This window comes from Homo sapiens, chromosome 13 (assembly GCF_000001405.40).
Source record: "Homo sapiens chromosome 13, GRCh38.p14 Primary Assembly".
Lineage (NCBI taxonomy): Eukaryota > Metazoa > Chordata > Mammalia > Primates > Hominidae > Homo > Homo sapiens.
Window position 1 is genome coordinate 113,501,354 of NC_000013.11, and position 25,991 is coordinate 113,527,344.

The window sequence follows — 25,991 nt, forward strand, 5'->3', positions numbered from 1 at the left end:
AGGTATCATAAGTAATCTAGAGGTGCTTTAAAGTATATAGGAAGATGTGCTAGGTTATATGCACATACCATCCCGTTTTGTATCAGAGACTTGAGCATCCGAGGATTCTGGTCTGGGGGGCAGGGGAGGATCATGGAACCACTGCCCCAAAGATACCGAGGGGTGACTGTAATCTTTAGGCCATGAAAAACTAACTCCATCTATTCCCAGAATACACTCTTCATATTTTCAGCTTCTCTGGGATCCTCAGCATGAGGAAAATCGGTGGTTTTGTCTTCACCCTTCATTCCCATCAGGTGAAATCGGGGAACTACGTCCTGTTCTGTGCCTCAGCCAGCCAGCCCCCTTCTTACCACTGTTATCTTATACTTCTGTTTCTTATTTATTTTATTCTTCAGGACATTGTTACCATAGGAATGCTGTCCTTGCCTTGTGGCTGGCTATGTACAGCCATAGGATTGCCTACAATGTTTGGTTATATTATTTGTGGTGTACTTCTGGGACCTTCAGGACTAAATAGTATTAAGGTAAGAACAAAATTGGATTGTTTTGGTATCTGTTTAACAGAATATAAAAAGAGAATTCATGAAGACTAAAAAGTATTGAATGTGATTAATGCAGATACCAGCTTCGTATAAACCATTTCAAAGATGTCCTTTCAGGTGTCACGGGAAGTCTCTGAACCCTCAGGAAGTCGCTGTGCCTGTTAGTGAAGGGGCGGTGTTACTGGAGACAACGCCCCTGCTCGTTTCCATTAGTTTTAAGGACTCCATTTCCAGTAACGTGCTGGACCAGGTTATTCAGACCACCTTTCACGTGCTGAATGTAACCAAAGTGTTGCATTAACCGTTTTTGTTGTTGTTGTTGTTGTTGTTTTTGAGACAGAGTCTCGCACTGTCACCCGGGCTGGAGTGCAATGGTGCAATCTTGGCTCACTGCAACCTCCGCCTCCCGGGTTCACATGATTCTCCTGCTTCAGCCTCTTGAGTAGCTGGGATTACAGGTGCACACCACCACACCTGGCTAATTTTTTGTATTTTTAGTAGAGACGGGGTTTCACTATGTTAGTCAGACTGGTCTTGAACTCCTGACCTCATAATCCGCCCGCCTCGGCCTCCAAAAGTGCTGAGATTACAGGCATGAGCCACCCTGCCTGGCCCATTAACTGTTTTTAAGCATCCCATTCACAACACATGGAAAAGCTGATTAGCCCCAGTCGAGGCAGTGGGCAGTGGGGCTGTTTGCTGGGCCCCGTCACACTGATGGCACTTCTGACAGGGAGGAAAGGTTCCCAAGCTTCCAGCTGTCTCCCCACAACACTCACGGTGCGAGCAGCGTGGAGAACGGGTGCCAGAGTGGGTGCCATGAGTCCCACTGGAGGGAGGCGTGCCAGGGGGTGGGACGGGGAGGAGTGCAGCCTGCTCCCTCCAAGCCTCTTTCCCTCTGCTGCTGGTTGAGCCTGGGACTAGGCCCAGGAGCCCCAGGGCTTTCTCCAGATCGCAGGGCGGCAGGAGGGGTCTGAGGAGCTCGAGCCCCAGCTGGTGAAGAGGAGCGCGCCCAGCACCCTGGGCCTGGGGAGCGGCTGGCCGGCAGAGGAGCCGCAAGCCCACGTGTGGGGGCTCCCAGGACAGGGCTCGCCTTGGCAGAATGGCCTCTGGGAAGAACGGCTGTTTCAATGTAGTTTTTGGAGTAGGTCTTTTTCACGTGATTCAAGTATAAAACACCAGAGGTGAAAAATCACTTCCTGCCCTTTGCAAATAAAAGCAAATACAAATTTCCTTCCTTCTTTTTCTTAATAGCAAAGGTGCTCATAAACCAACAAATAAGGTGAAGTGGCTGGGTAACACATACAACTGGATGCTGTAAAAATTATAATTCTTAATAAATCAGCTAAACCATGGAAAATAATGTAATTATAAATAGACCAAGATAAAAATCAAAGCACATACTAGCCAAAAGTGAGAAGTGGTTAATCGAAGTACACTGTGTGATTGTGTGTGTGTGTGTGTGTGTGTGTGTGTGTGTGTGTGTATGTGTGTTTTGGATACTTCCACCGGGCATACTAGGGCATGATTGTTGAGTTAAGTATACTTAATATGTTAAACATGTACAATTATATGGTTTTTCTTTTGTGTTTTTCAGTCTATTGTGCAAGTGGAGACATTAGGAGAATTTGGGGTGTTTTTTACTCTTTTTCTTGTTGGCTTAGAATTTTCTCCAGAAAAGCTAAGAAAGGTAAGGACCTCATCAACCTGTTACTGCAGCTAAGGAGCTTCACATCATGTGGTTTTGGTTCATACACTTTTAACACTTGTTGATGAATTCACTATCAAATGTTTTTAGAATAGAATATGATATTTCGGTTTGATGTTATTTTTGGGACAAATTCAGAAAGATAAAAAATATCAGGTTTGAAAGCGTAGAAATTCAGTGAAGAATTGGAATTTGCCTTCACATGGCTAACTTCAGGAAGGGTCTGGAAAGTAATGTGTGTGAACTTTAATAGATGGCTCCCTCTAAGGTGCGAAACTGTTAGAGGGTCAGATGTCATAGAGCTTGCATATTCAGTGTGTTACCCTAGAAAAAACTTTGTCAATTGGAAGTGAGTTAATTAAAAGACACTTTGTTTTTCCAGACACCGCACAAAAGAGGAAAGTAGCTGATTAAAAGCCAGGGTGGGGAGAGGTAAAATGAACACTGTTCATAACAAAAACACCCTGTGAATTAAGATCAGATACCACTTTGCCTGCAGTGCTAGCTGGAAAACTAGCATCGACTTAGCAAAAGTTTTTAAGTGACTGTCAGATGTAACAGGCATTCTTGAACCAGATTCGTGAGAATCACAACTGTACACCCTTTCTGTATTTTTGGGGTTTTTTTTCCACGAAAGACTTGGTCATTTTAAACAAAGTGACTTAATTTACAGTGTCTGGTTTGCCTAATCATTCAGCTCTCTCATGTAGTATTCCTTCTTTTTTTAATTTAAAATTTTTTTATTTCAATAGGTTGTTGGGAACAGGTGGTGTTTGGTTACATGCGTAGGTTCTTTAGTGGTGATCTGTGAGATTTTGGTGCACCTGTCACCAGAGCAGTGTACACTGCTCCCGATGTGTAGTCTTTTATCCCTCGCCACCCACCACCCTTTGCCCCAAGTCCGCAGAGTCCAGTGTGTCATTCTTACACATTTGTGTCCTCATAGCTTAGCTCCCGCTTAGGAGTGAGATCATACGACGTTTGATTTTCCATTCCTGAGTTACTGCACTTAGAATAATGGTCTCCAGTTCCATCCAGGTTGCTACAAATACCCCTTTTTTGTTCCTTTTTATGGCTGAGTAGTATTCCATGGTATATAAATACCACATTTTCTATTGATGGGCATTTGGGCTGGTTCCATATTTTTGCAACTGCAAATCGTGCTGCTCTAGACATGTGCATGCAAGTCTCTTTTTCGTATAATGACTTATTTTCCCCTGGCAGTGGGGTTGCTGGATCAAATGGTAGAGCTACTTTTAGTTCTCTGAGCAACCTCCACACTGTTTTCCTTAGTGGTTGTGCTAGTTTACGCTCCCACCAGCAGTGCAGAAGTGTTCCCTGTTCCCCACATCCCTGCCAACATCTATTCTTTTCATTTTTTGGTTACGGCCATTCTTGGAGGAGTAAGGTATTGCATTGTGGTTTTGATTTGCATTTTCCTGATCATTAGTGATGTTCAGCATTTTTTTATGTCTGTTGGCCATTTGTATATCTTCTTTAGAGAATTGTCTATTTATATCCTTAGCCCACTTTTGGATGGGGTTGTTTGTTTTTTTCTTGCTGACTTTTTTGAGTTCTTTGTAGATTCTGGATATTAGTCCTTTGTCGGATGTATAGATTGTGGAGATTTTCTCCAGCTCTTTGGATTTGTACACTCTTTTTGGAGAGCTGTCTAGCAATTTGACCTAAAAGCCTTAAAATGTACATATGCCTTGACCTGGTAGTTCTTCTAGGTCTCTCTCCAAAGGAAAGAATCAAACATAAGTTTTTAAAAAATTTACCCACAAAAGGTTTCACCTCCTCATTGTAAATTTTTAAGAAACAGTGGAACCAGTCCTGAGCATCTAACGGTCAGTTCAGCTGCGGCGTGACTACCATGGAGTGTTAGGTAGCCACTGCAAAGTAACAAGAGCATCAGCAACAGAGCAAAATATCGGTTGGAAAGCTAAATGTGGGGAAAAAAGGAGCATGTAACATGACCGCGGCAATGTAAAAGAAGCACCAATACATGGGGGAAAAATGGGAAAGAAGCGTTCCGGGTAGCCATGATGACTTCTGGTTTCTTCTCCATATTTTCCAAATTTTCTATAATAAGCAGTCAATACTTTGTCATTAGGAGGAAGAATAAACTTTTCTTTTAAAGGCTTGTGTTTACTTTCAGAAGTCAACTCTGATCTCACTGGCATGTTTTTCTTTATACTCTCTTCCCATTTGCTTCCTCAGTTCATCCTCTTACCTAGAACTTTTTGTTTTCTTTATCTTTCTGTTTTTCCACTAAAAGCTCCGTTTTTCCATCTTCCCATTACTCTCCCTTTCCTGTGTACACTCCTGAAGACAGGCATCCTCATAAGGTGTTCTGAATTAACTTTAGGGTGTTCTCCAGGTACTTTGCATCTTTTTATATTTCTTGTAAATTGTTAATTTCTAAGCTCCATGATTAAAGAGAATTCACCACTCTCCTGGGTCCTAATGAAAAGCTGTGTCATCCTTGCCGTTAATCCTGTGGAGGAGACTGTTGTGGGTGGGGAGGGTAAGGGAGCGTGGGCCGCGTGGCTGCCTGGCCTGTGGAGGAAGGAGCCTGTTACGGGTGGGGAGGGTAAGGGGGCGTGGGCCACGTGGCTGCCTGGCCTGTGGAGGAAGGAGCCTGTTATGGGTGGGGAGGGTAAGGGGGAGTGGGCCGCGTGCTGCCTGGCCTGTGGAGGAAGAGGCTGTTATGGGTGGGGAGGGTAAGGGGGTGTCAGCCAGTGGCTGCCTGGCCTGTGGAGGAAGAAGCTGTTATGGGTGGGGAGGGTAAGGGGGAGTGGGCCGCGTGGCTGCCTGGCCTGTGGAGGAGCCTGTTATAGGGGGTTTGGGGATGTGGCTGTCCAGTGCCCTGTCTCACCAGTGTCCCACGAGACTCCGTAAAAACACAAGGCCTCCATTCCATGGTGCAGCATGGGCGTGTGTGTGTGAGTGTGTGTGTGTGTGTGTGTGTAATTTAGAGAGGTTTGCAGCAAAGGGCAATTTAGGGCCAACCCGTAGGGGAGGTGGGAGGGATGAAGTTCTGGCTGTGCAGCAGAGCGTCAACAAGGCACTGATCTGCCTGGACCTGTGTTCCTCTCCTGTACAGTGAGGAATCTAGAAGGCTCCAGTGTCTTCTGGCTCTGCATTTTCATAGTTTGTATTTTTCTCCACTATAGTATTCACAGTTAAATAAAAAATAATGTTGTATAACGTAAGGTGGAGGTAATTGTGAGCAGCGTGAGCATGTGCTTCATCAGGCCTGCTGTCGTCTAATGGTGCTTCCGAGGGTTTGCACCCGGTTCTGAAGTGCCTGCTTGGTGGTGTAGACTCGGGGGCTTGGCAAGAGGCTGGCGTTCTCTGTTAGTAAGTTGTGCTCAGCTGCCCTGCGTGGTGACAGAGTCAGATGCGTGGAAGGACACTGGATTGGGACTCAGGAGACGTCTGTGAAACTCCTTGCTGACATCTGATTGAGTGGGGCTGGGCAGGGTTCCTTCTGTGTCTGGGATGTGCGGGTGTCTTGGCGCTGACGAGGGTCTCCCGGTCCCAACTCCTCTCACCCGTTGCCGAGCCTGTGCTGCTGTCCCCGGAGGGAGCCGTCGGAGTCTGGCCCCACCCTGGTTCATGGAGACGGCATCCCGCTGTTTTTCTAAGTCTGTGGACTCGGATTGCAGATCTGTATCCACCCAGAAAACGACATTATTAAGCAATGTGTTTATTTTCCCCTTTTTATTACTCAGGTATAAATATCTGGCCAAGCTTTAGAATAACCTGAGATACCCGGAGTGACTTTTCTGAACTGATGAGCCTCCTGCCACGTGGGTTAGCTTGCACACCACACTTATGGGTGGGAAAATAATTTCCTTGGGTTTTTGAAATGTTAATACTTGCCAGAAGGCCCCTCTTAGGACTTCTAAAGATATGATTAGAAACTACTTGGAACACTGAAGCCCCGAAACTGCGCCGTGCATAGTGCTGAGGAAAGCTGCCCACTCTGTTCTCGCCCTTGTAGCTGCTCGCTCCTCTAGCCTGACTTCAACTGTTCCTTAAACTTGATCTCTTAAGAGTCTGTCAGTTTCTGCCTCTCTCCAGATTGTTTCTCAAGTCATTGTGGTTGGGAGTTTCGTTTGCTTCTGTCTTGTATCTTCTCTGTTCTAACTACAAATACCTGTTGAGCACCTGTGGTGTTCCAGGCCCTTCAGGGGCTGCTGGGTGAGGCAGGTATAACGTACGTGTGTGCCTACCCTGCGGCTTGTATTTTGGGATTTCAGGAGAATGTGTCTTGGCGCCGGGGGTGCCAAGGGGCCCTCCCGTCAGCGCCTCCTGACCTTCAGCCCACAGGCAGCCATCTGGGGGGCTTGGTAACCCACAGATTCTGACCTGGGCGCACCTGCAGATGGGGTTTCTGATGCATGCACGGGTCCCGTGTTGAACAGGAAGCTTCTTACTCTCACCTGTGCCCCTGTGGCCTTTCCTGGTGCCGTTTCCCACTGTGGTGTCTGGACACCTTTCTCCCAGGGCCCTCCTGGCTGGAATGTGGGGTAACACAAGATAATAACGTCAGACAAGGTTCACCCTGGTAATGACCTCAGAGATAACAGAGTCTCGCCTGTTCTCTATAGAAACTAAAGCTAGAGAGATTGCTACCCACCCAGGGCGCACAGCGAGTTAGTGGCAGATCAGGCCTCAACTCCATGTGTCCCTTGAGGGTTAGGAAGACCCAGAATTAGAGCTGGCTAACACTGCTTGCAGGAGTAACCCCCACGCCCGTGGCCTCCTCAGGCTGCAGCCAGCGTGGACAGCACGGGTGCTTCCATTGCTCTTCGGCCGTGATATTCGGAAGAGGAAGGGTGTGAGACGCGCTCTGTGATAACCATCACAATTGCCAAGCATAGGAAGTAGAGAAAAGAAATTCAGAGGCAGGCTTTGTGGGACCGACCCTTCCCCTCCTTGTGGAAGGAGAGAGGGGGCCGAGCAGAGTAGAGACTTACCTGAGTCTCCGCAGCCCAGAGCTGTTAAGTGGCATCTGCTGGCCTCCTGTCACATGACATCTCAGTGTTCAGATGAAGTGAGCCCGGGCCTCATGGGGTTGGAAGGCACTGTGCTTCCCCTTTGGGGTCCGGAAGCTCCATGGTGGACAAGCAGGCCAGCTGGTCACAACTGTGGGAAGCTGGGGCGTGTCTGCTCATTTCCCTGATTCTCAAAAAAAAAGTTGTAATTTTGCAAGAAGTGTTATTTTTCACTAAGAACTAGGTGGGGAGGGAAAGGCTCACATGCTCCAAAGCACCCAAGGTACATTGGGGCTGGCGGGCTTGGTGGGTGGGTCCCCCCGGAGCTGCCTGAGTACGTTGGGACTGGCAGGCTTGGCGGGTGGGTCCCCCCTGGAGCTGCCGGTGTATGTTGGGACTGGCGGGCTTGGCGGGTGGGTCCCCTGACACTGCCTGTGTATGTTGGGGCTGGTGGGCTTGGCGGGTGGGTCCCCTGACACTGCCTGTGTATGTTGGGGCTGGTGGGCTTGGTGGGTGGGTCCCCCCTGGAGGTGCCTGAGTATGTTGGGGCTGGCGGGCTTGGCAGGTGGGTCCCCCCTGGAGCTGCCTGTGTATGTTGGGACTGGCGGGCTTGGTGGGTGGGTCCCCCTGGCGCTGCCTGTCTATGTTGGGACTGGTGGGCTTGGTGGGTGGGTCCCCCCTGGAGCTTCCTGTGTTAGGATGGCAGGCTTGGTGGGTGGGTCCCCCCTGGAGCTGCCTATGTTGGGGCTGGTGGGCTTGGTGGGTGGGTCCTCTGGAGCTGCCTGTCTATGTTGGGACTGGCGGGCTTGGTGGGTGGGTCCCCCCTGGAGCTGCCTATGTTGGGACTGGCAGGCTTCTTGGGTGGGCTCTCCCGGAGCCGCATGTGCCCGGCTGCTCCATGACGCCTATGTTTAGCCACACAGCCCCTGCACCCCTTCCTTCTAGGGCCCCCACCCCAACTTTCACTTTCTGTAGAGGGCCTGGAATTAGGGAATTGATGCTTATATTGATTGGGACCATGCAGTGAGGAGAAAAAAATATGAATGAGCACTTCACGTGGAATAGGAGGAGTTCCAGGTTAATTTCTTTGGTTGATGTATCGTATTTATGTTTATATGTCGGTAGTTTTTATTATTTTACGATTGAAGCGTGCTTTCTTCCACCTTCCCGTCTGGTTTAACACAGTGCTGAGTGCACCCCGAGGCACTATAGAGCCGCTTCGAATGCCGAGCCACAGGGCCTGGGTGCACTTCCTGGCTCCAACATTTACTGGCCACGTGACCTTGGGCGAGTCACTTAACCTGTGTGTGCCTCGGTGTTTTCATCTGAAAGTGGGGAAAATGGTCATCTTGAGCTCAGGGTGTTCTGAGGATTAGGTTCTATTCACACACATGGGGAGAGAGTGCGTGTGCGTGTATTGTGTGTGTGCAGCCCTGTGACAGTGCCTGGCACAGAGGAAGCCCTGTGTGAGGATTCACCATGTTCAGATGGTGACCCCAGCGTTGCTTCACAAAAGCTCAGCTCTGCCTCCTTTCCTGGATGCAGAAATGCGTGAAGTCTGTGTGGTGTGGTCATTGCCTGTTGTCACTAAAAAGTGTGTGACTCACTGTGTTCTCTTTAAGGTGTGGAAGATTTCCTTACAAGGGCCGTGTTACATGACACTGTTAATGATTGCATTTGGCTTGCTGTGGGGGCATCTCTTGCGGATCAAACCCACGCAGAGCGTCTTCATTTCCACGTGTCTGTCCTTGTCAAGCACACCCCTCGTGTCCAGGTTCCTCATGGGCAGTGCTCGGGGTGACAAAGAAGGTAGGTGACGGCATGTTCTGAGTGCGTGTCTAATTCATGCTCGTGTGTAGGTGACTTTTGGATTCACAGTTGAGGGCATGTGAGGAAAAATTGCAAAGTCTTATTTCCCCTCTTAGGACTTTCCTAACCATGGTGGATACCAGGGCTTACATTCTGCAAGGAAATGGTGTCCCTGTGAACTCAGCTCCTCCAAACCTCCACTTCTCCACTTGATTAAGAAAAATGCCCGTGAGGATTGATTGAGGGCCAGAGAGAAATTGGACCAAGATTTTGAAAAACCAGTCAGCACTGGAAAATGACCTGTGGAACTGGTGGATTTTAGGAAGTTGCGTATGTTTTGCTGCTTTAATTCTAGCAGGCACTGGGAATTGATACACTTTTGATACTTTCTTCCTGTGAAATCAAGGTGCTTTGGTAACTGAAGGTGTTCCCGACTCTTTGGCTTTGGCCTTAGTTTCATCGTATGTATGAAACATTGCCGCTTCTAAGTCGTGACTGTTTAGTGGAAGCCGACTTGCTCGGAGCCTAGGCAGGACCGTGTCCCTCTGCGGGGAGGACAGTGGAAGCCGACTCACTCGGAAGCCTAGGCAGGACCGTGTCCCTGTGCGGGGAGGACAGTGGAAGCCGACTTGCTCGGAGCCTAGGCAGGACCGTGTCCCTGTGCGGGGAGGACAGTGGAAGCCGACTCACTCGGAAACCTAGGCAGGACCGTGTCCCTGTGCGGGGAGGCTTGGCAGGTGGCTGTTTCTGACAGCCTGCCTACCCACTGGGTAAGCTGTCACTGTTTTGCTCTTATTTTGTAAAAGTCAGTAAAATACGGGGTCGAAATGTCACAGTCACTTCACTCTGACGTTCACCCTGCACAGAACACACAGGCATAGAAGAGAAAATACGGAAAGAGAAAACCAAAGAGGTATGTCTGACCTCTCCCATAAACCGAGAGGCTCTGTGCCGGCAACTGAGAGGCTGAGCAGAGCTGGCCATGGGCCGCCAAGCAGGGTGCTGGAGCATGTGGGACCCACATGTGCCCTCACTGTGTGACAGGCAGTTGGGAAGCATCTGTCTGTGAAAGGAGGCAGGGAAAACTTTTTAAAAATCTGCGGCTTTCTGCGGGGCCTGAGGCGCCAGTAGGACACGGATGCAGCCTCCCTGCTAGACGCTGGACGGGTGGCCCCGGCCATGGGCCTCCTCCGTGCTGGTGCCAGCATCCCTGTGGGCTGGTCCTAGGGTCAGCCCCATCGTGAGACTGGACAGGGTTGGAGGGTCGGGGGCTGAGTGAAATGAAAAAAGACCAAGTGGGGACCAGGAACGACGCATGAAAACAGCTCCTAGTTTAGTGGCCCGCACACGGGACACCCACACCTGTGAAGAAATCTGTGGCTGGAAAAGAGCTGACGGACTCAGCAGTCACAGCGTGAACTGCCCTTATGGACAGAGAAGCTTCACAAAGACTTCAAAATCAGTGCACGGTGTATATACACTCGGAGGTGTGCAGTATATATACACTCGGAGTCACGGAGGCCGGGACTGGAGAGGCAGAGGGCCGGAGTGTAGATGGAGAGGGTCAGTATATATACACTCGGAGTCGCGGGGGCCGGGACTGGAGAGGGAGAGGGTTGGAGTGTAGATGGAGAGGGTCAGTATATATATATACTTGGAGTCTCAGGGGCCGGGACTGGAGAGGGAGAGGGTTGGTGTGTAGATGGAGAGGGTCAGTATATATACACTCGGAGTCGCGGGGGCCGGGACTGGAGAGGCAGAGGGCCGGAGTGTAGATGGAGAGGGTCAGTATATATACACTCGGAGTCGCGGGGGCCGGGACTGGAGAGGGAGAGGGTTGGAGTGTAGATGGAGAGGGTCAGTATATATATACACTCGGAGTCTCAGGGGCCGGGACTGGAGAGGGAGAGGGTTGGTGTGTAGATGGAGAGGGTCAGTATATATGGACTCAGAGCCCCAGGGGCCGGAGTGTAGACGGAGAGGGTTGGAGTGTAGATGGAGAGGGTCAGTATATATAGACTCAGAGCCTCAGTGGCCGGAGTGTAGATGGAGGGGGTTGGAGCGTAGATGGAGAAGGTTGGAGTGTAGACGGAGAGGGTTGGAGAGTAGATGGAGAGGGTCAGTGTACATAGACTCGGAGCCCCAGGTGCTGGAACTGGAAGGGGGCCGGAGTGTAAACGGAGAGAGTCAGTATATATAGATTTGGAGCCCCAGGTGCTGGGACTGGAAGGGGGCTGGAGTGTAGATGGAGAGAGTCAGTATATATAGATTTGGAGCCCCAGGTGCTGGAACTGGAAGGGGGCCGGAGTGTAGACGGAGAGAGTCAGTATATATAGATTTGGAGCCCCAGGTGCTGGGACTGGAAGGGGGCCAGAGTGTAGACGGAGAGGGTCAGTATATGTGGACTCGGAGCCCCAGGTGCTGGGACTGGAAGGGGGCCAGAGTGTAGATGGAGAGGGTCAGTATATATGGACTCGGAGCCCCAGGGGCCAGAATGTAGATGGAGAGGGTCAGTATATATAGACTCAGAGCCCCAGGGGCCGAGACTGGAAAGAGGACCTGGTAGGTTTTCAGAACTCGAGACAGGAGCCCATCTCCAACACTGATGGGATAAGGGGAAATAAGTCCACCCAGGCATGTCATGTTCTGCAGCTGAGCATGAAGTAGAAGGGAACGTCTGAACACTTGGCAGAAAAGACAGGTGGTTTAAAAAGGAACAGCAAATAATTGGGCTGATAGGACACGTCTCCTCGGCAACGTCAGATGGTGGGAGATAGCGGATAGGTAACCCACACCCTGGGGAGACAAGTCATGTGTGCCCAGTGAAAGTACCATCCAAGAGTAGGGGGTAAAATGCAGGCATTTCTGATGTGCAAAGACCCCAGAGCACCGCCCACCCAGCAGTCCCCACAGGGCCCAGACCCAGGCCCTGCAGAGGCAGAGCTGGGCGTGGAAGCAGCAGGGAGACAGAGGGGGCTAGAAGGTGATACATTTAGTCAGTTATGACTGTTAGAAAAGGAGATGTTTGAGTTTGTTTTTTTAAAGGCCAGGCTAAAACTCTAGATAGTAAGAAGATAGGAGGGTTGCATGTTTGGGAGGTAGTTAGAGTCAAGGACTTGGACACTGAAAGGAAATTTACAGTTAGACATGTTAAATGTGTAATATACCCACAGCACAGTTAGAAATTGTAATTTGAAAAAAAAGCTTTGGGAATAAACTTATCAAAAGAGAGCTGTGACCTTTGAGGATAAAGTCACAAATGGAGTGAATTCATGCTCACAGAGTTCATAAAAAGACTCCATTCATAAAGATGTCACTTCTCCCCAAATTTATAAACTCATAGCTGTTCCAATAAAAAAAATCTGGCAGGAGTTTTCATGAAACTGAAGAAACTGATCCTAAAATTCAGTGGGTACCAAAAAGCTAAGAATAGGCAACATTAATTTGAGGTGAGGAGTCCCCCGCCAGCTCTCAAGACTGAGGATGTCCCGGTGGATAGCAGCACCACAGGCTGAGATGGAGCCGGGGGGTCGGGGCCCACAGCCCAGACGCTGCAGAGAAGCTGGGGAGATCGACTTACCAGGAGTGGGAATTAGCTATCCAACGTAAGAAAATGAAATTAGCTTGACTTTAGAACTACGAGAAGGAAATAGAAAATATCCTTATAACCTTAGGGTAGAATTCCTTAAAATATAAAATGCAGAATTCAAAAGAGAAAATACTGATACATATGACACATTTGACTTTGTAACCTTCTTTTTCATACTAACCTCACTATGGGGACAACTGTAACTTTTATTGAAAGGCATTTTTTTTTAATAAGCCACAGGCCAGAGGAAGACATTTCCTATAGTTATTTATTGTTTGTTTAGAGCAAAGGATTAATATTCAGAATGTATCAAGAACGTCTGTAAATCCAAACCAAAAAGTAACCTAATGGGAAAATAGGCAGAATATCTGAGCAAATAACTTACGGGAGAAGAAACCTAAATGATGAACAAAAAGGAAGACATGAGCCTCGCTAGTATTCGGGGTGCAGGCTGATGGGACTGAGATCGACGCCATCCACACAAGCCTGCTGCCAAGCTTTGTTTTAGACCGAGTCTTGCAACAGGAAGACATGAGCCTCGCTAGTATTTGGGGTGCAGGCTGATGGGACTGAGATCGACGCCATCCACACAAGCCTGCTGCCAAGCTTTGTTTTAGACCGAGTCTTGCAACAGGAAGACATGAGCCTCGCTAGTATTCGGGGTGCAGGCTGATGGGACTGAGATCGACGCCATCCACACGAGCTTGCTGCCAAGCTTTGTTTTAGACCGAGTCTTGCTGTCACCCAGGCTGGAGTGCAGTGGCTTGATCTTGGCTCACTGCAGCCCCAACCTCCTGGGCTCAAGTGATCCTCCCATCTCAGCATCCTGAGTAGCTGGGATGACAGGCGTGTGCCACCATGCCTGGCTAAGTTTTTAGTCTTTTTGTAGAGATGGAGGTCTTGCTATGTTACCCAGGCTGGTTTTGAACCCTGGCCTCGAGCAGTCCTCCTGCCTCGGCCTCCCAAAGCGTTGGGATTGCAGGCATGAGCCACCGCACCTGGCCCTGGCAGACATTTTTAACCTGATCTACCATTGGCAAGAATGTGGAGTTGCAAGATCTAAGCATTCTCCATGGGAATGTAAATTGGTTCAGCCACTTTGGAGAACAATTTTGCAATCAGAAAATTCCATTTCTATATACATATCCTAGAAAATTCTTGCAAATTATTATAATTCAAAACAGCATTATTTTTAGTAGCAAAAAATTAATCAACTGAATATTCAGTAACATGCTGGACAGTTAAGATGTATTCATACATTGGAATGCTGCAGAAGCAAATGTGAATTCTGTAGCATGGAGGGAAAGATAGAAGATGTGGAATGCAACATGTTTTATGTGTTTAAAGTCTGAACTTTACATACATGCAAACTTTTACACTAAAAGCAACAAGAAGTGTTTGAGAATGACAGATGTGGCCGGGTGGCTGTGCCAGAGATGGGGAGGCATGCCATCAGAGAGAGACGCAGGGCAGTCGGCTGCTTGTGACATTTCTTCCAGAAGCTCAGTGATGGCTCTGGTTGTTCATGACATGCTTTGTACCTTTTTTCTTGATCCAAAGTATTTTATAATAATTGTTTTTAAAAACAAGGTAAGTGGCTGGGCACGGTGGCTCACGCTGGTAATCCCAGCACTTTGGGAGGCCGAGGCGGGCGGATCACGAGGTCAGGAGATCGAGACCATCCTGGCTAACATGGTGAAACCCCGTCTCTACTAAAAATACAAAAAATTAGCCGGGCATGGTGGCGGGCGCCTGTAGTCCCAGCCACTCAAGAGGCTGAGGCAGAAGAATGGCGTGAACCCGGGAGACAGAGTTTGCAGTGAGCCGAGATCGTGCCACTGCACTCCAGCCTGGTTGACAGAGCGAGACTCCGTCCCAAAAAAAAAAAAAAAAAAAAAAAAGAAATGCAGCTGACTTGTGTGTGTTTATTTTGTGCCCTGCAACTTTGTGAACTGGTTTATTGTAATAGATTTTTGTGTGTGGAATCTTTAGGATTTTCTACATATGAGATAATCTCATCTGCTTACAGGATCATTAAATTCATTCTTCCCAATTTGGACACCAGCCTTGTGTCTTAGAGATGCACATTGAAAGGTATGGTTAAGAGGATGACTGGGGTTTCCCTTAGGAGGGTAGAGTGGAGGTTAGTGTATGAAACAAGGTTAGTCTGCCTGATCATGGAAACTGGATTATTTGTTCCTTGAGATGCACTGTATTTTTCTTTCTACTTTTGCATATGCTTGAAATTTTATTAGAAATTCCTATATATGTCCAGGCATGGTGGCTCATGCCTGTAATCCCAGCACTTTGGGAGGCCAAGGCAGGTGGATCACATCAGGTCAGGAGTTCAAGACCGTCCTGGCCAACATGGCAAAACCTCATCTCTACTGAAAATATAAAAATTAGCCGGGCATGGTGGCACACGCCTGTAATCCCCAGCTACTCGGGAGGCTGAGGCACAAGAATTGCTTGAACCCTGGAGGCGGAGCTTCCAGTGAGCTGAGTTCACACCACTGCACTCCAGCCTGGGCCACAGAGTGAGACTCCATCTCAAAAAAAAAAAAAAGAAAAGAAAAGAAAAGAAATTTGTATATAGCCCAAACTTAAGACTGTCTCACCAGAGCTTAAAGGTGTTAGCTCTGGCCACAGCAGCGGCCTCAGTCACTCTTCTTACATGGATTTTGATGCAAATTCTGCTCCTTTTCTATTTCTCAAGATTTCTAGCCCCTTCGAGGGGCCCAACCCTCGAAGGAGTCCAGTAAATGTGTAACTCCACTCTGCCTTGCCTGTGCTGAAAACACATAGAAAGAGGAACAGAGGAGGCAGGCACCTGGAGGTCAGAATGGCAGCTGGATTGTGAAGAAGGTGTGGTTTGCATGCCTGGCAGTGATGAGCTTCTTAGGCTTCATTCTTAACCTCGGAGCAAGACTCATTGTCCAGCCACAAGCAGCGTTGGCCTCCAGAGGCCTCCGTGGGCAGGGCCTGCCCTGTGAAACTCAGGTCTGCAAGAGAACCTTGAGACCAGGTGCCGTGGGCTGGCTGGTTCACAAAGGAAGACGGGCTCTATCCATTTCCAGGAAGAGCGCCCTTGTCTCCCTGGGAGTAATGTATGTGGGACCAGGCAAGAGGCCAGGAGTGGTGAGGAAACATTCCCTTCTTGTGAAAATGCAAGCGAGGGGAAAGGAGGTTTCCCCCACAATGTGCTAGAATATTCATGCAGCCTTTGTTGTTGTTGTTGAGGAGGAGTCTCGCTCTGTCGCCCAGGCTGGAGTGCAACGGCACAATTTCAGCTCACTGCAAGTTCCACCTCCCGGGTTCACGCCATTCTCCTGCCTCAGCCTCCCGAGTAGCTGGGACTACAGGCGCCCGCCACCACGCCCGGCTAATTCTATTTTTAGTAGAGACGGGGTTTCACCGTGTTAGCCAGGATGGTCTCGATCTCCTGACCTCGTGATCCGCCCGCCTTGGCCTCCCAAAGTGCTGGGATTACATGCAGCCATTTTTGTATTAGTGAATAAATGGAATTCCTGAACGTCCACCAAGAGATGAATGGATAAACTGTGGTCTGTTCTACAACAGTTTTAAAAATGAATCAGAGCTTTGTGCATCAACATGGATAATTTGCAGATATAGTGGTGGTCAAAAACGGCAAGTCGCAGAAATGTTGATTCTGTGAAGTTTAATATTACAAAATAATAAACTCAGTGTTGCCTCCAGATCTATAGGTGTTAACATTAAGTAGAAATGCATTCAAGGGGATGATGAACTTTCAGAATAAGGTCAAGTGGGGACTGTGGGTGGAGGGAAGAGGGGCCCCACAGCACGGGGTTTACAGACCTCCTTGTGGGGAGTGTGGGTGGAGGGAAGAGGGGCCCCACAGCAAGGGGTTTACAGAGCTCCTTGGCGGCACCCTTAGGACTTTATTTCTTTAAAAATCTGAAGCAAATATGTTACAGGTTTAAAATTTAGCAAATTCCTTAGTGGGTATGTGAGCATTTGATATACTCCTTGTTCTCTGTATATTTAAACTGTTTAATAAAAGGAATGGAAAACAGGAAGAAATCAAAATGCTTATAGTAGTGATAAGCACAAAAAGGTAGTGCAGATTTCAGAAAGATGACAATAGTGAAAGTGTTGAGAAATTAGAGAAATTGTAATATTTCAGTGTGGTAATATTTTCATCTTGTCTGGTTGCACTGCTGAAGTTTTGTGCCCGTCACTACTCCGAGCACTTGTCTTCCTCCTGCAGCCCCGTGAAGTCCCTCGTGAGCAGTGTTTCCTGCGCAGGCCCTGTGGGTGTGGACTCGGGGTCCTGCATCAGGGACCTTGGTGAAGACCTGGTCTCTGCTCTGTGGTGCCCATGGCCTAGCGGGCAACAGTTGAGTGTCTGTTGATTTCAGCCAGTTCACTATGATCGGTGCAAAGGAAGAGAACAAAATATTTAAAACATTTACAAAATGCTGGCAGTAATATCATCAAAGGCTATCTCTAAAAAGTGAGATGTAGTGAGAGATTTTGTTTCTTTTAAATAGAAGGGGCGCAGGTGTGAACGTGTTATCTGCGGAAGATGTGGGGTGGCCGTGGCTCCTTTGCATCCCACAGACTCATCTCGCAGCCTCCCTCCCGTCTTGCGAAGGCTGCGAGATGAAGAGAGATGCGGTGACCACAAGCCCATGCGAGCCTTAGGGTGAAAATCGCTGATCTGTGAAGCCTCCGCATGGACAATATTAGTTGGGAGGCAATTTTATCATCTCCTGAATCGTGTAACCCTAAAAGGCACAAAGCTGTAGCCACAACAGCTTAACGTCATCGTCTGTTCAGACTGTTTTAAAATTCTAAGCCAAGATATTTTGTTCACCAAAAATTTAATTTTGTACAATAAGTCAATCAAGCCTTCTAAAACAATTACCTGAATCTCTATCCAGAAAGAGATTTTTGCTGGCATCAAGGGGTTTTGTGTGGTTCTGCTGTTTTTTTAAAATAAGCCTTTTCTATCAGATTGGTCTTTTAAAATCTGTTGATAACAGTAGCTTTTTTTTTTTTTTTTGAGACGGAGTCTCGCTCTTGTCCCCCAGGCTGGAGTGCAGTGGCGTGATCTCAGCTCACTGTAACCTCCGCCTCCTGGGTTCAAGTGATTCTCCTGCCTCAGCCTCCCAAGTAGCTGGGACTGCAGGTGCCCGCCACCATGCCCAGCTAATTTTTTGTATTTTTTAGAACAGATGGGGTTTCACCATGTTGGTCAGGCTGGTCTCGAACTCCTGACCTCAGGTGATCTACCCACCTCAGCCTCCCAAAGTGCTGGGATTACAGGCGTGAGCCACCGCGCCCAGCCGCTTTTTTTTTTTTTTTGTAAGAAAAAGTACCTTGTTCGGGGTGGGGTTGGGGGAATGACAATTTAATTTTTAGAAGCATATTTACAGAGTTCATAGCTGGAACTGTACATTGAAAATTGAGACCTTTGGAGGCTTGTGCAAGTTACTGAATTTGTGAAGAAGGTCTCATTTTCCTTTCTTCTTTCCAGAGTTGTTCCTTAGTCTCTTCAGCTAGTCATGGCTACTACTGTTCTGCCCTCGTGAGCCGGTGTTTGTCTGCCGGGCCCGCCTTGGTCACACAGTGAAGGCTCATTCCGTGTGGTGGCTTGGGTGCGTCTGCACCATTTGGACACCAAGTCTGTGTTGGTCACACAGTGAAGGCTCATTCCGTGTGGTGGCTTGGGTGCGTCTGCACCATTTGGACACCAAGTCTGTCTTGGTCTCACAGCGAAGGCTCATTCCGTGTGGTGGCTTGGGTGCGTCTGCACCATTTGGACATCAAGTCTGTGTTGGTCTCACAGAGAAGGCTCGTTCTGTGCAGTGGCTTGGGTGGGTCTGCACACGTGGAACACACCACGTGACCAGAGGGGCCTGAGTCAGGCCTACCTGGAGTAGCTCAGGGAAGCTGTAAAGGTGAGAAGCAAAGGCTTCTCCATGTGTTTCTGGGACGCAGTGAAATTGGTGTGATTATCCAAGCCTGTCATCTTGTTTGCCATGTCACCTTTTTGTCATGAGATTTTTCAATAATTATATAAATAACAAGTAAGTCGTGGAAGTAAAAGGTGTTCTGATGATTTGCTCTACAACATTTTTAATCTTAAAATGCTTCAGTGTTCTCAAAGAGATTTTAAAGTCTATTCTTAAAAATGTAAAGTGCCGGCCGGGAGTAGTGGCCCATGCCTGTAATCCCAGCACTTTGGGAGGCCAGGGCAGGTGGATCACAAGGTCAGGAGTTTGAGACCAGCCTGACCAACATGGTGAAACCCCGTCTCTACTAAAGATATAAAAATTAGCCAGGCGTGATGGCAGGCGCCTATAATCCCAGCTACTCAGGAGGCTAAGGCAGGAGAATCACTTGAACCCGGGAGGTGGAGGTTGCAGTGAGCTGAGATCGAGCCACTGCACTCCAGCCTGGGCGACAGAGCAAAACTCCATCTCAAAAAAAAAAAAAAAAAAAGTAAAGTGCCAAAATAATTTGAGTTATTTTGGAAGTGTGTACAATGGCAATATTTTGACTTTGGATACTTTTGAGTTGTCGTAGACCTGTCTTCAATGCCTTTCCCCCCACAGGCGACATTGACTACAGCACCGTGCTCCTCGGCATGCTGGTGACGCAGGACGTGCAGCTCGGGCTCTTCATGGCCGTCATGCCGACTCTCATACAGGCGGGCGCCAGTGCATCTTCTAGGTAAACGCTTTGTGTACGCAATTTGTTTTTATAGTTTAAAATCACTTGTGCATAAAAATACTACTTAATACCTTTTCCAAAGAGATGTTCTGAGCTCAGATGGCTCAGGATTCCGTGCACAGTCCCTGGAGCAACACTGCCTTGCTCACGCCCTGGCTCTGTGCTTAGCAGCTCCTCACCACGGGCAGGTGACTTATCCTCACAGTTCCTCAGTCCTGTCTTCCATCAAGTAGGGGTGGTAGTAGTACCCACTGATGGAGTAGTCAGGAGGAATGAATGAGTTCCGATAGAAACATGCTTAGAACAATGTCCAGAACGTAATAAGTGATGTGGAGGGAGGGGGGTGTCTGTATGCATGTGTATGTGTGCACGGGGAGGGAGTATCTGTGTGTGTGTGTGTAGGTAGGGTATATCTGTGTGCTTACGTGGTATGTGTGTGTATGTATTCACGTGTATCTGCATGTATGTGTGGCGCACCTGTGGTGGGGGGGCATGTGTCTGCATGTGTGGTGTGTGTGTTTGTTCTGTGGTATGTCTGTGGGGGGGTATCCACGTGTGCGTATGTGGGGTATATCTGTGTGTTTGCATGTGTCTGCATGCATGTGCGTCTGCATGTATATCTGCATGCATGTGTGGTGTGTGTGTGTGTATGAGAGCTATCATTGTATGGTTGTATATCTGCATGCATGTGTGGTGTGCGTGTTTGTTCTGTGGTATGTCTGTAGGGGGGTATCCACGTGTGCATATGTGGGGTATATCTGTGTGTTGCATGTGTCTGCGTGCATGTGTGTCTGCATGTACATCTGCATGCGTGTGTGGTGTGTATGCGTGTAGGAGAGCTATCATTGTGTGGTTGTCATTGTCACTGTCATCATCATTACCACTTCCCCGATCCTTCTTTTCATTCTCCCAATATCGTATTGCCAAACGTAAACTGCACCTGCTTGGGTTCGTATGGAGAGAGAAGCCAAATGGGAAGAATTAATTTATCCAGAAAGTTGTAGGTTGTGCCGCATATACAAATACATTCCAAGAATATCAGCCAGAAAATAAGGACAGTTGCAAAGTCTAGGGTGCCCTATGAAACTTAAAGTGGGATAGGACTGTAAGCTTGAGTGTGTTTTAAGCCAATATACTATACTTTATGTATGTAAATATTGTGCTTTAGATCTAATCTCCAGAGGCTACCTTTATTGCATTTCTTACAGCAATGAGTACAACTGATCAAAAATTAGGAGACCTTTTTGAAACTTCTTTTGGAACCAGATTGAGGTTCTAGGACCTGTCTCGTGTGCTTTATTTCTTCCTTTCCAACCCGTATGCTTTTGGGTTTCTTCTTGCCTTATTGCACTGGCTGGAATGTCCAGTACTTTGTTGAAAAAGATTGTGTAAGAGGACATCTTTGCCTTGCTCTTGGGAAGCATTCAGTCTCTCACCACTAGGTATGATGTTAGCTGTAGGTTTATTGTAGACTCTCTTTGTCAAGCTGAGGAAATTCCCATCTATTCCTAGTTTGCTGAGAGTTTTTATGATGAATGGGTGGTGGATTCTGTCGATTGCTTTTTCTAAACCAATTGATATGATTATGTAATTTTTCTTTGTTGTTGTTGTTGTTGTTGTTGTTTGAGACGGAGTCTCGCTCTGTCGCCCAGCCTGGAGTGCAGTGGCACGATCTGGGCTCACTGCAAGCTCCGCCTCCCAGCTTCACGCCATTCTCCTGCCTCAGCCTCTGGAGTAGCTGGGACCACAGGCACCTGCCACCAAGCCCGGCCAATTTTTTGTATTTTTAGTAGAGACGGGGTTCCACTGTGTTAGCCAGGATGGTCTCGATCTCCTGACCTTGTGATCTACCCACCTCGGCCTCCCAAAGTGCTGGGATTATAGGCGTGAGCAACCGCGCCCGGCTGTTGTTGTTTTTGAGATGGAGTCTCACTCTGTTGCTCAGGCTGGATGCAGTGTCGTGATCTCGGCTCACTGAAACCTCCACCTCCTGGGTTCAAGCAGTTCTCCTGCCCAGCCTTCCGAGCAGCTGGGACTACAGGCATGCACCACCACGCCCAGCTAATTTTCATATTTTTAGTAGAGACAGGGTTTCACCTTATTGGCCAGGCTGGTCTTGAACTCCCGACATTGTGATCTGCCCGCCTCAGCCTCCCAAAGTGCTGGGATTACAGGCATGAGCCACCGTGCCTGGCCTTCTTTTTTAGCTAGTTGACATGATGGATAACATTGATTTTTGGAAGTTGAACCAGCCTTGCATACCTGGGATAATTCCCCGTTGGTTTAGGTATATAATTATTTTTATACATTGCTGCCTTCAGTTTGCTAATTTATTGAGGATTTTGGGGTCTAACTTCATGAGAGATATTGGTGTGTAGTTCTCTCTTTTTTTTTTTGATACTCTTTGGGTTTTGGTAATAAAAGTCATACTAGGTTCACAAAATGTTTTGGGAAGTGTTCCTTTCTTTTTATTTTCTGGAAAACATTGTATAAAATTGATGTCAGTTCTTCCTTAATATTTGGTAGAATTCTGCAGTAAAACCCTCTGGGTCATGAGATTTCCTTTTGGGGAGTTTTCTTACAAATTTAATTTGCTTAATAGTCACAGTAGATATTCAGAATATCTACTTCATATTGTTGAGTTGTGGTAGCTTAGCTTTTTGAGGAATTGTTCCACTCTGTCTCAGTTGTCAGATTTATATATACAGAGTTTTTGTGTTGTATTCCTTTATCATTCTTTTGATGTCCACAGGGTCTGTAGTGATATCTTCTGTTTCATTGCTTATGTTGATAACTTGCATCATCTTTGTCTAGGGATTTGGCAATTGTATTAATCTTTCCAAAGAATTCGTTCCTTGTTTTATTGATTTTCTTTATTTTGTTGTTGTTTTCAATTTCATTAGTTTCTACCCTCACCTTCCTTCTTGCTTTGGGTTTATTTTACTTTTCTTTTTCTAGGTTCTTATGGTTTAACTTAGATTATTGATTTTAAACTTCTCATCTTTTCTACTGTAAGCATTTACTGCTGTAAATTTCCCTCTCAGCACTGTTTTAGCCGCATCTCATATTTTGATATGTTGTATTTTTATTTTCATTTTGTTCAATGAGTTTTAAAAATTTACTTTGATACTTCTTTGACTCATGGATTGTTTAGAAGTGTTGCTTAATTTCCATACATCTGGAGATTTTCCTGATGTCTTTCTGTTACTGATTTGTAGTTTGAGTCCACTGTGGCGCGAGAACATTTTGTATGATTTCAGTTCTTCTACATTTGTTGAGGTTTGTTTTATGGCCAGTGATACTGTCTGTGGTAAATGCTCCAAAGTCACTTGGGAGGAAAAAAAAGTGTATTCTGTTATTGTTGAGTGGAGTTTTTTTTAATATATGTCAGTCAGTTAACTGCGCTATTTCGTGTTCTTGCTGTAGTTGTATCAGTTGTTGAGGGAGATGGTATTGAAGTCCCCCGTTAGAATTGGATATTTGTCTGTTTCTCCTTTGAGTTCAATCAGCTTTTGCTCTATGTATTTTGGGGCTCTTTTGTTTGGTACATACACATTTAGGATCATTTTGTCTTCCTGGTGAATTGATCTTGTTATCATTATGTAATATTTCTTTTTTTGTTGTTTTTCGAGACATAGTCTTGCTCTGTTGCCCAGGCTGGAATGCAGTGGCGTGATCTCGGCTCCTGCCTCCTGGGTTCTAGTGATTCTCGTGCCTCAGCCTCCTGAGTAGCTGGGATTACAGGCGTGTGCCACCACACCTGGCTAATTTTTGTATTTTTTAGTAGAGACAAGGTTTCGCCATGTTGGCCGGGCCAGTCTCAAACTCCTGGCCTCAAGTGATCTTCCAGCCTCGGCCTCCCAAAGTGCTGGGATTACAGGTGTGAGCCACTGTGCCTGGCCATATTTCTTTTGTTTCTAGTAATTTTCCTTGCCGTGTAATTCACTTTATCTGATATTAAAATAATATTATTTTTTTTTTTGGTCAATGTCTGCAATGGTGTATCCTTTTCATACTTTTCCTTTCAACTTATGCCCTTGTATTTGAAGTGAGTTTCTTGTGGAGAACATATTGTTGGATGATTTTTTTAAATCCACTCAGCCAGTCTCTGTATTTTAATTGGTATGTTTAGACCATTTACATATCAGGTAAATATTGATATGTTGCAACTTAAGTCTGCATTTTATTTGTTTTTTGTCTCGTTACTCTTTTTCTTTTACATCTCTGTGGGTTGACTGCGTGTTTTCAGGGATTCTGTTTAGGCTCATTTATAATGTTTTGAGTGTATTGCTCTGTGTGGTTTTCCTGGTTGCTCTGGGTATCACAGTGGACACATGTAACTTATCACTGTTTGCTGGAATCCACGTTTTACCACTTCATGTGAAATGTAGAAGCCTTATTTCCACTTAGCTCCCTCCCCCTGCCCACATGTTAAATAGTCACGCGCTGCATAATGACATTTTGGTCAGTGATGGGCCACCTGTACAGCAGTGGTCGGGTGGGATTCTCTGGACCTGAACAATTCCTGTTGCCTAGTGAGGTTGCAGCCCTTGTAACGTCACAGGGCAGTGTAATGCCCCCATGCTTGTGGTGATGCTGGCACGAACAAACCTGCTGCACTGCCAATCATATAAAAGGCTCACACACCCAATTAGGCATGGTACGGAATACTTGATAACGACAATAAATCACTGTTACTGGTTTATGTATTTACTATACTTTTTATCGTTAGAGTGTACTCCTTCTACTTATAAAGAGAAGTAGAACTGTCAAAACAGCCTCAGGCAGGTTCTTCAGGAGCTATTCTAGAACAAGCCATCATCATCATAGGAGACGACAGCTCTGTGCCGGTTATTCTAGAACAAGCCATCGTCATCATAGCAGACGACAGCTCTGTGCCTGTTATTCTAGAACAAGCCATCGTCATCATAGGAGACGACAGCTCTGTGCCTGTTATTCTAGAACAAGCCATCGTCATCGTAGGAGACGACAGCTCTGTGCCGGTTATTCTAGAACAAGCCATCGTCGTCGTAGGAGAGGACAGCTCTGTGCCGGTTATTCTAGAACAAGCCATCGTCGTCGTAGGAGACGACAGCTCTGTGCCTGTTATTCTAGAACAAGCCATCGTCGTCGTAGGAGACGACAGCTCTGTGCCGGTTATTCTAGAACAAGCCGTCGTCGTCGTAGGAGACGACAGCTCTGTGCCGGTTATTCTAGAACAAGCCGTCGTCGTCGTAGGAGACGACAGCTCTGTGCCGGTTATTCTAGAAGAAGCCGTCGTCGTCGTAGGAGACGACAGCTATGTGCCGGTTATTCTAGAACAAGCCGTCGTCGTCGTAGGAGACGACAGCTCTGTGCCGGTTATTCCACCTGAAGACCTTGCAGTGGGACAGGATGCGGACGTGGAAGACAGCGACACTGATGGTCCTGACCCTGTGCGGGTTTAGGCTAATGTGTGTTTGTGTCTTAGTTTTTAACCAAAAAGTTTAAAAAGTTAAAAAAAATTAAAATAGAAAAAAACGTATAGAATAAATAAGAAGAAAGAAAATATTTTTTGTACAGCCATACAGTTTCTGTTTTAAGTGTCATTACAAAAGAGTCAAAAAGTTTTTAAAAACCTTAAAGTTTATAAAGTTAAAAAGTTACAGTAAGTTAAGGTTAATACTGAAGAAAGAAAAATATTTTTAATAAACTCAGCACAGTTGGCCAGGTGTGGTGGCTCACACCTGTAATCCTAGTCTTTGGGAGGCCAAGGCGGGAGGATTGCTTGAGTTTAGGAGTTCAAGACCAGCCTGGGCAACATAGCAAGACCTCATCTCTACCAAAAAAAAAAAAATTAGCCAGGCGTGGTGGCGCACACCCATAGTCCCAGCTACTCTGGAGGCGAAGGCTGTAGGATTGCTTGAGCCTGGGAGATAAAGGCTGCAGTGAGCTGTGATCATACCGCTGCTCTCCAGCCTGGACAACACAGTGAGACACTGTCTCAGTTTAGTGTAGCCTGAGTGTACAGCGCCTGTGGCGTCTGCCGTGGTTTACAGTAGTGTCCAAGGCTCTCACATTCACTCACCCTCACTCCCTGACTCACTCAGAGCAACCTCCAGTCCTGCAAGCGCCCTGTACAGGTGTGCCATTTTTACCTTTGATGCTATACTTTCAGTGTGTATTTTCTGTGTTTAGATATGCAAATACTTATCATTGTGTTACAGTTGGCTGCAGTATTAAGTGCAGTCACGTGCTGTGCAGGTGTGTGGTCCAGGAGCAGGAGGCAGTGCCAGGCGGCCTGGGTGGGTCTGGGTTTGTGTAAATGCACTCTGGAATGTCTGCACAATGATGAAATTGCCTTATGATGCTTCTCAGAATGTGTCCCCATTGTGAAGTGGCACATGACTGTATAATTGTTGTCTTTTCTCTTCTTTTATTGAATACCACAGCAGATGGTGTTGTAATGTTTACTGCAGACATCAAATACGATTTTGAAAACTCAGGAGGAAAAGGATAATCTCTTCTTCTCATACCTGTTTTTACCCATTCTGGTGTTCTTCTTTCCCTTCTGATGTTCCCATCTATCTTCTGTAATCATTTCCTCTCTGTGTAGAGAACTTTCTTTGGTC

General features: G+C 47.0%; 1 protein-coding gene across 30 annotated transcripts in view; it reads left to right on the forward strand.

Annotated features, from left to right (window-relative positions):
• The window catches only part of SLC9D1 (solute carrier family 9 member D1), a 59,209-nt gene that overhangs the window by 10,333 nt on the left and 22,885 nt on the right, over positions 1-25,991 (forward strand). For 20 of the 30 annotated variants that reach the window (NR_146222.2, NR_146221.2, NM_017905.6 and 17 more), the window contains 4 exons: positions 399-527; positions 2,143-2,235; positions 8,885-9,071; positions 19,263-19,380. Coding sequence is in view for 27 of the 30 variants with exons in the window: in NM_017905.6 (NP_060375.4) it covers positions 399-527; positions 2,143-2,235; positions 8,885-9,071; positions 19,263-19,380 (527 nt within the window). In the remaining 3 variants the exon portion in view is untranslated. Of the gene's footprint in view, positions 1-398; positions 528-2,142; positions 2,236-8,884; positions 9,072-9,187; positions 9,900-14,689; positions 14,973-18,181; positions 18,435-19,262; positions 19,381-25,991 lie in introns of those variants that run through there. The other 10 variants (NM_001349746.2, NM_001349743.2, XM_047430404.1 and 7 more) reach the window with 5 other exon arrangements.